Source organism: Homo sapiens, chromosome X (assembly GCF_000001405.40).
Source record: "Homo sapiens chromosome X, GRCh38.p14 Primary Assembly".
Classification (NCBI taxonomy): Eukaryota; Metazoa; Chordata; class Mammalia; order Primates; family Hominidae; genus Homo; species Homo sapiens.
This window is the reverse complement of record NC_000023.11, coordinates 45867458-45884702: the sequence shown is the minus strand read 5'-3', so window position 1 is coordinate 45884702 and position 17245 is coordinate 45867458.

Here is a 17245-nt window from a genome sequence, read left to right as displayed (position 1 = left end):
TGAAGTTCCCTCTTAGTCTTTTTGTTCTATTTAAATCTTCAATTGATTGAATGAGGGCCACCCACATTAGGGAGGGCAATGTGCTTTACTCAGTCTACCAATTTTAATCTCATCCAAAACCACCCTCCTCCAAAAGCACAGACACACCCAGAATAATGTTTGACCAAATGTCGGGGCATCCCATGGCCCAGTCAAGTTGATATATTCGGTTAACCATTATAGTAGAATTATCTTTAGAAGTAAGCAGAGTGAGTATTGCCCCAATTTCCGGGAGACATTCTGGGAAGGCTCCTCACCCCACCCACTAAAATGTCTATCCCACTGTCTTGTTGGTTCAGGAATGAATCAGAACAAATGAGAGGTTGTTTTGTATGCATGTATGTATGTATTTTTTAACATCGTGTTGCAATGGCCCAGAAGACTGATGAAAAGCTTTCATTTCTGCCCGTCTCTTCTGGCCTCTAGAAAGCCTTGTGAATTCAGGACAGAACCCAAGGCTTTTTTGACTCATCAGAAGATTGAAAAAAAAAAAAACCAGACTTAAAAAAAGACAAGAGACAGTCATCCAATAAAATACAGCCAACTCCTGTATATTACAAAATATTATATATTCTTAATAGAAAGTTTTCCCTTACATTGGGACTAAATTCCCGATACTCCCTTCACCTGCAGCTGCTGCTGGAAAGTGGCCACTGTCAGTCATCAGGAGGCTCCTTCCCATCAATGCTTAAATTGCATGTTAGCCAGGATCTTTCATTTAAATTGAGAAAGTATCCAAATGCCTTATGCCTTATTTTACACCTCTTTTACACAACACTTTTGTGGCTAAATGGTAGCCACAAAAGTGATGAGATTTGGTAGTTAAAATCCCTGAATTTCTTTGGGTTCCATATGGAACCAGATTTCATTACAGGTTTGTTTGTTTTGAGACAGGGTCTTGCTCTGTCACCTGGACACCTGGAGTGCAGTGGTGCCATTGCGGCTCACTGCAGCCTTGACCTCCCAGGCTCAAGCAATCCTCCCACCTCAGCCTCCTGAGTAGCTAGGACTACAGGAACGCACCATCATCCTCAGCTAATTTTTAAATTTTTTTTAGAGACAGGGTCTCCCTATGTTGCTCAGTCTGGTCTCAAAGTCCTGGACTCAAGTGATCCTCCCAACTTGGTCTCCCAAAGTGCTGGGATTACAGGCGTGAGCCATGGCACCTGGCCCATTACCATTTTAATAATCGTTCCTATTATTTTGCTTTTGTTTATTTGTTTGTTTGCCTGTTTTGTTTTATTTCACTTCCAAGCAGTGAGAAGTTCTGTAGAGACAGAGTTGATCATACACCCCAATTTCCCAGGGACAGTGTCAATTTATGACTACTGCCCTGGCTTAATTTGTTAATGACACCTCTTTCTACTCTCTAAAATCTCCCAGTTTGGATAAGTCATATGTTCACTCTATAAATAGGGGCCATTTGGAACAGTTTAATGGTAATTTAGTCTTATTAGCAAATGTTAAGCAGTTCTACCATGTTCCTCCGTGCTTTTCTGAGACAACATCAGAGCTTCAGCATAGGTGTTTATGAGTACCAAAGTTAATATCTGAAAAGGGTATCTTCGTGGAGTAGTCTCCACTACACCACTTCAAGTACTATGGGGAATTTCTGTTTACTTGGTTTTAAATAATATAATCTCTTGATCATTCAAATTCCACTCCAAAAGTCTACTCCTAGAACCCAGTGGTTTTTTTAAAGCATTATTTTAATGTAAATTCAGGACTTCTATTTTTTATTTCCAATTTTATTTTTCATATAAAAGTTTATTTTCCCTGAAATCCTGAAGCTTTTGAACTCTGTGAAGGACCTGCATTTTGCTATGTTTTTCACCCTAGACAACAGGTTTCTTTCTCATTGTCGGTAGGAGTGTCTAATGTTCATTAGACCCCAAGTTGCTGCTCAAGACTATTCATTTAGGTTAGCCTATTTGAATACACCCAAATAGGAGTGTATTCACTGTGAGGCTGAACAATCTTCATTCTTCTAATGCGCATTTGAAGCCATCATTTAATTCATTGTATGGGACCTTTGCCCAAGTGGAAACCTGTGTTTGAGTCAATAGTCACAGAATGACTCAAACAAATAGGAAAGAATAAAGGCGCCATAGCTAGACAGAAGCTGGACCTGCTGGGGGACACCTGGCTGAGGGAAGGGGAAGTTTCCTGGTGCCCTGAGCCCTGGGGAAGGCTGAAGGATGAGTCTTCTTCTTTTTTAAATTTATCCGCCTCTTTTCCTTTTCCTTTCCTTCTCTGACTCACCTTTATTTTTCTTTGCTCCCAACTTCTTGTCTTCTCTGTTCCTTCTGTTCTTCTTGCTTCTTTCTTCTAACTTTTCTTTCTCCTGTTTTTCTCTTGTCCCTAGTCAACCTAAATAACAAATGGAGAGAAGCTCTCTAAAAGAAAATGATATTTATTCGGGCATAGGGAATTGCCATAAGAATATGCATGTCATAGTAAGCTATATGGGTATTCAGGGAGATAAAGGAAGACCAGGTTTTTAAAGGACAAATGAGGAGGATTACATAATTATTTTGAGATAATTATTCCTGGCTATGAGCACCAAGGGTGGTGCCAGTCCAGGGTTGGAGAGACAGTTGCTGAGAAGATATACTAACAGATATATTTTTTGTGTAAGGTTGCACTAGCCTTTGTGCAAGGTTGTGGTTTTTGCAGAGCCTTTCATGGTAGTTTCTGTTATCAAGTGCTTATACATGAGAATCCTCTATGGCCTTCCTTGGCTCTATTTGTCAGGGTTTCGGTTTTTTGTTTTTTTTTTCAATTTAATTTAATTAAATTAATTTTTTTTTTTTTTTGAGATGGAGTCTCGCTCTGTCACCCAGGCTGGAGTGCAGGGGCACAATCTTGGCTCACTGCAACCTCCACCTCTCAAGCGATTCTCCTGCCTCAGCCTCCCGAGTAGCTGGGATTACAGGCATGCACCACCAGGCCTGGCTAATTTTTGTATTTTTAGTAGAGATGGGGTTTCACCATGTTGGCCAGGCTGGTCTCATACTCCTGACCTCAAGTGATCTGTCCACCTCAGCCTCCAAAAGTGCTGGGATTACAGGTGTGAGCCACCAGGCCCAGCTGTTTTTTTTTTTTTTTTTTTTAAAGCAAACCACAATAACTCCACTTTTATTGTGACAACTTTCACACCCTCCCTCTCCTTTTGCCTCTTCAGTTTGCCCTCTTTTCTTGCTCTGCCTCTGGCCCTGCCATTGGCTTCATCTTGCAGTGGATCTGAAAACCTCTCAGTTTTCTAATCTCTTACACTCTAACAAAAACTAGGAACCCTCTCCCTAGAATAGGGCATACAGATATGCAAATCAAATATGAAACTTCTGAGAGTTGGTGATGCTTGAAGCTTTCCAGGCTAAGACCTTCTGGGATAAGTGTCCTTTGGTCCACTTCTTTTTATAAATCAAGTAACAAAGTGGTTTTAAGGAACCACCATAAGGAGATAAAAATAACTTCAGTAACATTTGGCAAACGGGTAATCAGCATGAAATTTAAAATCAACATAAAAGATCATACTAGATCATACAGTAGGTAGGGAGCTTTGGAAAGAACATGAAGCCCAGGACAATTTCAGATTTTCACACGGTAAGGTTGGTTGTAAGCCAATGTTGAAAACAGAGACACAGCATCATCTGCATGATGACATCTACAGCTAGGCCTTCAACTATCATGGTAGCTGTAGGTGACATTTTCTGTATACTATTATCTCAGTCCATTTTGTATTGCTATAAAGGAACACCTGAGGCTGGGTAATTTATAAAGAAAATAAATGTATCTGGCTCATGGTTCTGCAGTCCATACAAGAAGCATGGTGCCAGCATCTGCTTCTGGAGAGAAACTCAGACTGCTTCCACTCATGACAGAAGACAAAAGGGAGGCAAAGAGGAGCTGGCATGTAGAGATCACATGGTGAGAGAGCAGAGGCAAGAGAGGGGGAAGGTCTCAGGCTCTTTTTAGCAATCAGCTGTTGGGGAACTCTTGCGAAAACTAACAGAGGGAAAACTCATTCATTACTGCAAGAATGGCACCAAGCCATTCATGAAGGATCCATCTCCCTAACCCAAACATCTTCCACTAGGCCCCGCCTCCAACATTGGGGATCAAATTTCAACATGAGGTTTGGATCGTCAAGTACTCAAACTATAGCAACAATAAAACTCTAAAGCATTATATACCTGTAAGGAGTGGCATTGAAGTGAATTTAGCTGGTTGGTAAATGTAATGGCCCTGAGTTTTTTTTTAAATAAATGAACATTCTGGACATTGAAGAATAATTTCAGTCTATATTTTAGGAGTTATTTTTCTTTTAAACACAATACACCCACGCACAAACTTCCTTTAGCCCTTCTTTCCAAAATATATTTTAAAGCCTCCTCCCCAAGGTACTGTGCTATTGATAGGAAGAAACTCTGCTTTGCATATTTGTCATCTTTCCTCAAAACTCCTATTTGGATTTTTTTTTCTTATTTCCTACCAACCCCCCAGTAAAACCAGATGGCAATTTTACATCTAAAGGAATTTGCATGATATAAATGTGCTATTAAATAAGCATAATGGAAATGTATTGCTCTATTGTAAATTACTAATATAATCTCATTTCCATCTGAAAATTTTTTAAAGCATGGTTGAATTTTTAGTAATGGTAAGTTAATGACATATTAAAAATGAAACAGGAACCATTTATCTGAAGTATCAACAATATTATTATTATATATTTTAAAAGGTCATCATTTATTTAAAACATAATTATAGAATGACTCTAAACCACACAGAGACTTACTTTTTAAAGTATACGTTACATTTTCCCACTAATACTTAACTATATTTAAACAGTGGTAGTTGGATTTTTAAAGGCAGGAAGCACCATATCATTATTGTGTGTTTGTCCTTTGAACAAATTTGGCCCATAGGGCATTGACCTTCTAAAATCAAAACCAACGGAGCCCACATCAATGAATCGATAGTGTTAGGTCTGATCTCTCTTCTTTTGCCCTAGATTCAGGTTCTGGGGGTTATGTGAACTTAAGATGAAAAGAAATATGATGAAAATAACTTGGCTAGCTGGAAAAAAAAAATAACCACCTGGGATATGGGGGAAAGTCAAGTGTACCAGTTAAATGGCACTTCCTTCTAGTAAAGATCTCTCCAAGTTATCATGATAAGCTGAACACGGTGTGTGCTGGTAATTAACTCCTAATTATCTAAGAAAATGAAAGGCATAAATTATCCAAAATAGAGGCCAGGCACGGTGGCTCACGCCTGTAATCCCAGCACTTTGGGAGGCCAAGGCAGGCAGATCACGAGGTCAGGAGATCGAGACCATCCTGGCTAACACGGTGAAACCCCATCTCTACTAAAAATACAAAAAATTAGCCGGGCGTGGTGGCGGGCGCCTGTAGTCCCAGGTACTCGGGAGGCTGAGGCAGGAGAATGGTGTGAACCCGGGAGGCGGAGCTTGCAGTGAGCCCAGATGGCGCCACTGCACTCCAGCCTGGGCGACAGAGTGAGACTCCATCTCAAAAAAAAAAAAAAATTATCCAAAATAGAATTTGTTTTAAATTTTTAAAAAATTCTGTTTTGCTTAGCATTTATCTTCCTGCTATGTTTTTCTTAAACTCCTGCTAAAATAATTATACTTAACCTGAGGGGCACATCTTAGTCTGGTGGTGAGGGATACAGGCTTCTTGGAATGTGCTGTGAATGGGAAGACACACTTTAAGTGAAATATTCACCACAGAAATATTTACCAATAGAAAGTAGAGATGCTAATAAGAATTGGTATTTATGTAATACTATACAACTGATAAATTTCACGTACATTATATATTCTCCAACTCTGGGAGGTAGAAAAGGTATATGTAATTATTATCCATAGTTCACAGATGGATGGATGGAGAGAAAGACAGTCAGTGATAGGATTTTATTTTTTCATTGTCTATGTAGACATTTAAATTTCAGTTTAGTGCGAATCCCAGCTGTATCCTTCCTAATTGCCACAGAGAATTTTTCTCAATTGTTCTAATACAGGTGATAGCACATCTTTTGTATGTAGTAACCAGGTTTTACCTCTACCAGGTGTGGCATCCAAACCAGGGACTTGGCAAATGCACACATCCCCAAATAGTTGTCAGTCTTAGAGAATTCAGACCATTTCCAGGTTAACATCTATTTTGGATGAGTGTTTTGATCATGGGAACAGTTGGAAAGGAGGCTGCTAGCCATTCAAATATGAACTTACCTTCACCAATTCATCCATTCCTCCACTTATCAAATACGTTTTGAGCATAGGGTATGCCAAGCATTATCTGGGCCATAGGAAGATAAGAGTGAATTAGAAGTGGTCCTAGCCTGCAAGAAGCTAAACAAAATTTCCAAATCATAAAACCAGTTAAAAAGTACTTGTGGGAAGCCGGGTGTGGTGGCTCACACCTGTAATCCCAGCACTTTGGGAGGCCAAGGTGGGCGGATCACCTGAGATGAGGAGTTCAAGACCAGCCTGGCCAACATGGTGAAACCCCATCTCTATCAAATAGATAAAAAATTAGCTGGGTGTGGTGGCACGTGCCTGTAATCCCAGCTGCTCAGGAGTCTGAGGCAGGAGAATCACTTGAACCTAGGAGGCGGAGGTGGCAGTGAGCTGAGATTGAGCCATTGTACTCCAGTCTGGGCAGCAGAGCAAGACTCCATTTCAAAACAAACAAACAAACAAAGAAAACAACAACAACAACAAATTAGCCTGGAATGATGGCTGGTGCCTGTAATCCCAGCTACTTGGGAGGCTGAGGCAGGATAATTGCTTGAACCCAGGAGGCAGAGGTTGCAGTGAGCCAAGATCATGCCATTGCACTCCACCCTTTGTTTGGAAACTGATTCATAGAAGAAATTAAGAGGCCGGGCATGATGGCTAATGCCTGTAGTCCCAGCACTTTGGGAGGCCAAGGCAGGTGGATCACTTCAGCCCAGGAGTTTGAGACCAGCCTGGGCAACATGGCAAAACCACATCTCTACAAAAAATACAAAAATTAGCCAGGTGTGGTGATGTCCGCCTGTAGGCCCAGCTCCTTGGGAGGCTGAGGTGGGAGCATCGCTTGAGCTCGGGAGGTAGAGGTTGCAGTGAGCCGCAATTGTGCCACTGCACTCCAGCCTGGGTGACAGAGTGAGACCCTGTCTCAAGAGAAAAAAGAAGTTAACAATCAGTCCAAATGCTTTGAGTTCTCATAATTTGGGTGATCCCTGAATCTTTTCTATTCACAATAAACTTCCCATCTGTTTTCTTGAAGCATGTGATATTTGTCTTGATTACAGAGATGAAAACATTTTGCCTAGTAGCCTGGTCTGGGTCCATCTGCCCATCTCTCACATTTGACTGTGAGCTATGAAGGGCTAGGGCTTCACAGTCAACTATGCTCCCCTCCCTACCCTTGCACAAAAGATGCTTACGATAAATGCCCACTTTATTGAATTAAACAAAGAGGATGTTTTAAAATTAAAAATGTGCCTGCTTTCCTATTTCAAGAACTGCTTGGAATTGCCTTAAGATGATTCTCCTCTACTGGGCAGCAATAAGCAGAAAGCCCTAGGAAGGGTTCTTTTCCATCTTCCAAAGGGGAAATGTTGTTTTAAAGGGTGCCTCCCCATGTTTCAGGCCTCTCTTGGGCCTACCCCAAAATGTCTTTGTGCTAAGCTAATAAAGAACAGATGACTTATTTAACCCACATTTTCCTAAACTATTTCCTCATATTTTCTCTTGTATGTAAATATTTTCTCTTGAATCCAAATAGAGAATTTTCACTGAAATGATGAACCCATTGTAAAGTTTTTTTTAGCAAGGTCTCTGTGCAGGTCTTGTCTGATTAGTTATGAGCATTAAACACACACACACACACACACACACACACACACACACACCAGCAACAGCTGCAAAAATGTCCATATGCATCACTCCATTGCACTACTCAAACATATAGAAGAAAATTAGTTAAATAAAAACACACGACAGTGAATGTGTCTGCTGGGAGTACTTCCTTGTGTTTTACATTATCACACCTAAACATTAAGTCAGCCCCTTAACTTGATTTTAATGTATTTAAGCAATAACCATCAAGGCACAGGGCACTTTCTGGGAATTAATGAGCAGCAAGAAGAGTTGATGGCCTAAAGTCGAACCAAGGACTGTTAACCCCAGCTGGCTATTAATTCCCCAGGAAATGCCCGGCACTGAGGTTGGTATTACTATTTATAAGCCCTTTATACATGAAGAAAGGAATTACATATATCCCCCCTGCCGTGCCTTCATTTCAGAGAGTGCTGTGGGAAAGCAGGGAGCTGAATCACGCTGTTGTTGCTGCATCAAGCCTTTTCTGCTAAATTAAAAGTAATTACCAAAATGAAGGCTTTGGTCTACAACCAGACATAGTAAGAGCCTCTACACTACTCTTCTCTTCCTCATTCCCACCACTGGCAAATTAAAGGAAAGTAGTAATGGCAGCACCTTCCTGGGACATTTTTAATGAGGTCTAGCACACATGCAGTAAAGCACATGAATCTTAAGCATACGGCTTGATATAATTTTTAGGTACATACCAGATCAAGGTTTAGAACATTCCCAGTACCCCCGAAGGCTTCCTCATTTCCTCTCCCAGGTGGTACTCTAACAAAGGTGATCACAATTCTGCCCTCAGTCTCACAGAATACTTTTGCCTTTCCTGTATGTTGTATAAATTGATTCATACAGTGTGTAGTCTCGTGTGTGTGTGTGTGTGTGTGCGTGTGTGTGTGTGTGTGTGTTTTCCGAGACGGAGTTTCGCTCTTGTTGCTCAGGCTGGAGTGCAATAGCATGATCTCAGCTCACCGCAACCTCCACCTCCCAGGTTCAAGCGATTCTCCTGCCTCAGCCTCTGGAATAGCTGGGATTACAGGCATGCACCACCGCTGGGCTAATTTTTTGTATTTTTGGTAGAGACGGGGTTTCTCCGTATTGGTCAGGATGGTCTCAAACTCCCAATTTCAGGTGATCCGCCTGCCTCGACCTCCCAAAGTGCTGGGATTATAGGCGTGAGCCACCGCACCCTGCCTCCTATGAGAAGCTTTTATACCTTAAATCCTGAATGTCTAGAATCTGTTTGTCCCGAGAAGGTAAACACATATTTATGGACCCTGGCACACTAAAATCCAACAACACTGTATGTTTAGAACATGATCAATTCCACCTGTGGTAAGGCAACTGCTTTTGAAGGCTGTTCTGAGGACAGGCTAATCAGAATTGTGTATCAATAAACATTTATACAAGTGTAGTTGAGGCATCTTCCCTAACTCTTTTTCCCACTACCCTATCATGAAAGGAATTCTTATCAAGTACCTTCTATCTTAGATTATTAGTCCTAACAACACTCCATAAATGTAGGCATTGTTTTCTCCAGTTTACCAAGGAGGGAAACTAGAATGCTAATGAATTTACCCAAGGTCACGGTAGTAAGTGCCAAGGTTGGGACTCATTACCTGTCTGACTCCAGAATTCAAGCGCTTTCATCACGTCCACAGCCAGGCAAGATGGGGGAGCCAGAGGTAGTCAGTGACTGGGGAGAAGAGAAGGAGCAAAGCAGGGTATTCACTCAGTCTCCAGCGTGAAGCCTTTTGCTCAGGGTTACACTTGAGCCTTTAGCCCATGGATTATTGAAATGACTTTTTGTACAGCAACTTTGCTTTAGTCTGCATTTGCTGTGTGGGCTATGTCTAAACACCTGAGCACCCTCTCAAACACCCTTGTAATATTGACACCTAACATCAGGGTACTCTTGTAATATTGACACCTAACATCAGGGTACTCTTGTAATATTGACACCTAACATCAGGGTACTCTTGTAATATTGACACCTAACATCAGGCTACTCTTGTAATATTGACACCTAACATCAGGGTACTCTTGTAATATTGACACCTAACATCAGGGTACTCTTGTAATATTGACACCTAACATCAGGGTACTACTGATACCCTCATTTTGCAGATGAGGAAATTGAGGTACAAAGGGGTTAAGTAGCTTGCTTGATGTCATACAACTGGAAGGGAGGGGGTCTGAATCTGAATTTGAACCTGAGGATTCAAATCCCAGGTGGTTGTAGTCTACAACTTGTTCTTGTAAATACTGGTGAGCCCTTCTGTAAGCAAATTTGCATTTGTTCTGTATTTTGGTCCATTCATCCAATTCAGATGCAAATTACTGAAAGACGGAATGTGTCTTGTGTTCCATATTATTGCTTTAAAACTTACTCTGGGTTATATATTTAGTGTGTGCTCAGTAAATATCAGCTGACTCATATATCAACATATTCATAAAATCCTCCAGTTTTCATTTGGGAGGATGGGGCACATTATGGATAATAGATAACAGTGATCCTACTTCCTCAAATAAAAGACTGAATGATGCTCTCTAAGCAAAGATTTAGTTTTCAAATTTAATGATTAAATCACATTTGTTGGTTGTTATTTGATTATCTATTACTGTTTAATGAATCATTCAAACTTAATAGCAGAAAGAAACAACGATTTCATTATGCTTACGGATTCTGTAGGTCAGTAATTAAGGCAGGGGACAGCAGGTGTGGCTTATCTCTCTTTCACAATGTCTGAGGACTCAGCTGTGAAGATTCAGAAGGCTGGGAGTGGCTTAATTGGCTAAGGCCTGGAATCATTTACAGGCTTCCTCACTCACATGTCAGGTATCTAGTCTGGGATGTCTTGGAGACTGAGATCAGCTGGGACTGATGATTGGAACACCTATACATGACCCCTTTATTTGATTTGGGCTTCCTCACAGCACGGTATCTCAAAATAGTCTGACATCTCATGTGGTGGCTCAGAGCTCCAAGAGATAATGTTCTAGGCAAGCAAAGTAGAAGCTGCATCACCTTTTCTGATCTAGCCTTGGAAGTCACATAGCACTACTTCTGCTGGACTCTATTGGTTAAACCAGCTGAGAGTCTGCTAAGATTCAAAGGGAGGGGACATAGACCCCTGCTTGCCCATGGGTGTGTCAAAGAATTTGCTTTAAAACCACCACAATTATATTTTCACTAATGACCCTTATTGAATTACATAAAATATGTCACTAATGACCTCTATTAAATTACATGAAATCTGCACTGTCCCAGAAAGGCAAGACCATGTTGGCTTCAATACCGCAATGATGGAAATTGAACCTGTTGACTTGGGCCTGTTAACTGTAATACTCTGGTGTCCAACAAATTTTATTCTGCACTTATCAGACATCTTGGATCTCCAGGGAATTCTCCCAAATTAAGCACTTCCATTAATGCAGGTGAGATGCCTTTTCTTTTTTTCCCCATTTAAGTGAGGAGATCTTCCACTGCCAGCTTCCCCTACTCTTCACCCCTTCTTCTTCATCCCTTCCTGGGCAGTGCCATAACTTGAGATTTTCTACCCACTTCTTCCCTGACAAAGCTGAAGGAGAATATTTCTTGTTCCCTGTGTGAAAAATTAGTAAGTCTTACTCAGTGCATTTCTTACTGGCTAGGAAGCTGTGATCCAGCTGAGGACATAAATGTGGAGACATTTCCTGGGACAGAGTAATCAATATGTAGATAACCTTGCAGTGAATATGACTCCAGTTATCTACTAAACAGTTGAGAAGAGTATTTGCATTTGCTCTCTAGTAGATTCCTCATTTTGTGGTGATTAGTCTTTCTGTATGTTTAGTTGTTCTAATTTAGAGTCATAGTGATCCAGAATATCAGAAGGCCCTTGGAGTTCATATGTTGGTTCAATCCATGCAATTTACAGATGAAGATACTGAGGCCAGGGAGTTCACCATGGAGCTTTCTTCAAGGTCAAATAGCTGGAGAGGGACAGAATACACAACAGAGCCCAGGTCTCCTTACTGCCAGTCCAGGCTCTTTTCACCACACCACCTGCATCCTCACCACTCATTTGTAGCCCTGTGCAGTCCCCTTCACACCTACTTAAGAGTGCTACCCACAGAGTCATTTAGGACTAGAAGGGCTGAGAGATGCGTCTCTTTTAGCTTTCACCATTTCCCTTTCCTTCACTAGATTGAGGGTAGGACTTTCAGAAGGAAGATTAAATGGCTCATATGAGCTGGAAGGGCTTTTGACCTTGAATGATATTTTTCTGGGGTTTTAACAGAATATGTAGTGCATTCTTGCATGGAGGCACATCTAGAACTGGGGATTACTTTCTGCTTAGGAGACGTCTCTACTTTGAAAGGGCTAAAAGGTACCAGGGCAAGCTTCAGAAGGCAGGAAGAAGAAAGCTCACAGCTTTAGGTTTGCCTGAAACTCAAAGGTAAAAGGTGAAGATATAGCAACCTCACATACTCAGATTTTCCCAAAGCAGTCTTGATTGTTATTATTTTGGGTAATTGTTTAACCACGTGTCAGATGGTGGGTCTTCTCAGCAAACTAATAGAAGGAATCTTCTGCCACCCAATAAAGAGCATATGTGAGAAATCTACAGCAAAGATCATTCTTAATGGCAAAATACTAAACATTTTTCCCCTAAGATCAAGAACAAGGAAAAGATATCTGCTCTCATCGTTTTGATTCAACACTGTTTAATAACTCCTAGCCAGTGAAATAAAGCAAGAAAAAGAAATGCAAAAATGTAAAAAGTGGAAAGAAAAATTAAAACTTTACAGACAAAATGACTGTACATAGAAAATCCTAAACAATCTACAAAAAAAAATCCTGGTAAAATAAGTGAGTTCAGCAAGGTTGCATGGTACAAGGTCAATATACAAAAATAAACTGGACTTCTCTATTCAGGCATACATCATTTTATTGTACTTTGCTTTATTTTGCTTTGCAGATATTGCATTTTTTTTTCCAAATTGAAGGTTTGTGGCAACCTTGTATCAAGCAAGTCTATGAGTATCATTTTTCCAACAACATGTGCTTGTTTTGGTAGCATGTCTTAGCAATAAAGTATTTTTAATTAAGGTATGAACATTTTTTATATGTAATGCTATTGCACACTTAATAGATTACAGTATAGTGTAAACATAACTTTTATATGCACTGAGAAACCAAAAATTCCATGTGACTTGCTTTATTGTGATATTTGCTTTATTGCAGTGGTCTGGAACTGAACCTGCAATATTTCCGAGGTATGCCTGTGCTAACAAAAGACAATTGGAAAATGAAAAACAATATCACTAGAATAGCTTAAGATGCCATCATACACCTAGAAATAAATCTAAGTCTATGGATGCTTATGGTACCTCCTAATTTAGTATGCCATGAATTTCAACAATATCATTAATAAAATACCTACACCAACCCAGTGATTTCTGTCAATTCCATGCTTCCAATTGTACTTTCGCTGTTTACCAAATGCCTTCAATTAACCATCCAATTTGCACCTATCTTGTACAAAGTAGAATAAAATTTATTCTGCAATAACATATTTTATTTTACCAAACATTTAAAAACTACATTTTGTTACTTAAAATAATTATTTTAAAATTGTGTGCTTTAGCATTTGGGGAAATGGTTTATTAAGTTCTCAAGTAGCAAAAACATGGGGCATTATAAACAATTACTTCTGGCTGGGTGCAGTGGCTCATGCTTGTAATCCCATCACTTTGGGAGGCCCAGGCAGGAGGATCACTTGAGCCCAGGAGTTCAAGACCAGCCTGGGCAACACAGTGGGATCTTGTCTCTAAAAAATATATTTAAAAAAATTAGGCAGGGTGCAGTGGCTCACGCCTGTAATCCCAGAACTTTGGGAGGCTGAGGTGGGCAGATCGCTTGAGCCCAGGAGTTCGAGACCAGCCTGGGCAACATGTTAAGACTCTGTCTCTACTAAAAATACAAAAATTAGCCAGGCCCATTGGTGGTGCATGGCTGTAGTCCCAGCTACTCTGGAGGCCAAGGTGGGAGGGTCACCTAAGCCTGGGAGGTGGAGGTTGCAGTGAGCAGAGATCATGCCACTGCACTCCAGCCTGGCCTACAGGGCAAGACCCTGTCTCAAAAAAAAAAAAAAAAAAAAAGCCAGGTGTGGTGGTTCACACATGTAGTTCCAGCTACTCAGGAGGTTGAGGTGGGAGGATCACTTGAACCCAGGAGGTTGAGGCTGCAGTGAACCATGATCGCACCACTGCACTCTTGCCTGGGCAACAGAGTGAGACCCTGAATCAATCAAACAGACAAACAAAAAACCCAATTCTACTAATTTCCATGGCAAAGTTGTTCAAGTGAAGCTAAAGAATAGATCAATGATTTTAAAATTGACTTTCTCTGTTCAAATAAATATGAAAGTAAAATAATATATTAGAGAGTTGAGCTGAAAGTAGGGGAATTATAGGAAATTACAAATTAGAAAATGTCCTGGAAGATAGTAGTAAAGCTCTCCTCAAAAGCTGGACAAACATGGTATAACAAGCAGTGTACTTTACCGAAGTCCAGAAAATATAAATCTTACAGAGATCTACGTGAAGTGAAAATTGCATCCCTAAAGAAAGTGAGAATCTCCTAACTTTTGCATAGATCCAACACAGATCTAAGTCCAGTTTAGGACCATTTTAGATCATACTTTCAGAAAATCTAGAAAGATTTAGTAAACCTAATCACACCAGAATGGGGGGACACATGCACAGAGTGGATTCATGAGTTAAATTTTTGGCTTCATTTTAGTCCTGAATTCAGAAGCCTCCCCTTCCTCCCCCCACTTACAGGGACAAAAGGAACTTGGGACAAAATCTGTACATCTTTAACAGGAGAGAGAGGACTTTTCCACCCTCCGGAGCTCCCAATATAAAAAGCATGCAACAGCTATAGATTTTACCTGATTATAGCAATGTGTTCCAACCAAAATTTCCTTTGAAAGATACTCAGAATTTTAGAAGGGAACAGATATTAGAAGTCCATCTAAATCATTGACAATTATATTGCAGTTAGGTAGGGGAATGTCCTTGTTTTTGGAAACATACCCTGAAGGAGTAAAGGACATGTGAACATTAACTTACTTTAAAATGGTTCAGAAAAAATTGTATCTTTCATAGTCATTGTTGTAAATTACCTGTGAAAATCACCTTTTAGTGGTTTCTAAACCTGAACTGGGCCTTTACATATGAGATTTCAGGTGATATGTCTTATATAGAGCCACCACTTATTACATCTTCCCATAGAACCCATTATTCTTACTGAAGCTCCAAAGTTTGTCTCTTCAATGAAGCAAAGTTGAACAAACATTTTATCAGAAAGAATTTTGGAGTTGCCTGTCCATATGGCCAAACAGCCTCAAGAAACTTGATTGCTTCCCTAAACTGGAAAGGAACGAGAAGAATGGATGGAGAAGAGCGTTCTTGTTTAAAGAAGTGTTGTTAGAGGATAAATCCTTAATGTTACATGTGTTTGAAAGGTGGTAGATAGAAGGGGGGGAGGGTCTAAGAAGGGATAGCAGTAAAGACTAGAAGATGAGAACATGTGGAAATAATAATTTAAAAAATCAGCATTGCTGAAGCCAGATTGGAGAGTGAAAACTAATTTCTCCTTCCTTTTGTTATAGCAAATAAAGGAAGTGGCACTGAAAATAATTCTTGTAACATCAAAACGGCAAAACACAGGATGAAAAGAAGGAATATGTTCAAACCTGGTGAGAAAATGAGCTCAAAGACTGATACAATGTCTTAAAAAATAGCAGATGAAAATTACCCATAATTTATTTGAATTGGAATCTTACATGCAGTGTAGCTTAATTTCTTTCTCTTTGATGAAATGTGTTTATTCTCACTGGTACTTTCTTTAGAAGATGTAATCATTTATCAAATTATAGTTTCACAGAGTGAAAAAGAACATAGGGACAGTCATGTTTCTCATTGGAAACTCTGTGGTCTTCTATGACCTGGCCTTAAATGTCATTTATCAGCATTTATACACTGTATTGGTCAAAGCAGTCCCAAGAGGATGCAGATTCAAGAGTAGGGGACACAGATCCTACCTCTCAAAAGGAGGTCTGTGAAAGAACTTGGGGCCATGTTTCAAATTGTCACACTGCATGATTGATTCTTGTACCTCAGCACTTCCTTTGAACCTACTGTGTCTGCAGTCATCACACATTTGGAGTTACTCAAAGGTGAGTTTGTTGTCACGTTTTCTGTAAACATTCTACACTCAGTCATTGTATTAGTTTCAAACATAGTAGCTTAAAACAACACAAATTTATTATTTTACAGTTCTGGAGGTCAGAAGACTGAAATGAGTCATACAGGGCTAAAGTCAAGGCAATGGCAGAACTGCTTTCCTTCTGAAGGCTTCAGAGGAGAATCCATTTTCTCGTGTTTTCCGTTTTCTAGCGACCACCTACACTTCTTGATTCATGACCCCTTTCTCCATCTTCACAGTCAGCTTTCAATCTTAAATATCATTTCATCTTTAAATATTTCTCTATCACTCTTTCTCTGTCTCTCTCTCTCTCATCTCTGCTTCTGTCATCACATCTCTCTGATTCTGAGCTTCTAGCCTTCCTCTTATAAGAACCCTTGTGATACATTGGGCCCACTCAGGTGATCCAGGAAAATCTTCCCCATCTTAATATCCTCCATTTATTCATACCTACAAAGTCCCTTTGCCATGTCATGCCGTGAAAGTATGGATTGTTATACTTTGCGGACATCTTTGTGGACATCTTTGGGGGTTGTTATTGTGCCTACCACAGCCATGTTGTAGGAAGCCGTGAATCAAATGGGTTTAGAACTCTACAGTTACTGCGTACCACTTTGTAATGTGGATCTTAGGATTTCTTAGACAAAAAGAAACCCTTAAAGAAACCAGATGCAATATCTGTTTCTTTCAGCTTCTGAAATTGTTATTAAAAGTTGGATATTATCATCCACTCCATGACTACTGGCTTAATTTTGTCCTTGGAGTGGCTTGGTACAAATTCTGATCACCAGGCTTGTGAAAGATTCCTAATTAGAATTCCTAATTCCTCACAGCAAAATTCTATGACAATTGTCTCTTCCGGTCCTCAGCCTAGTGCCTATCAAAGAGTAAATTTTCAAATAATGTGTGCTGAATGAATTGAATACCTGTATTACTGGTGAAAATATTGGATATGCATTCTCTCTTGATCAAGTGGTACCCTTGTGCTGCAAATAATAATCCATAACATGCTTTATTAAGGAAGTGTTTGCTTTCTGATCACAATC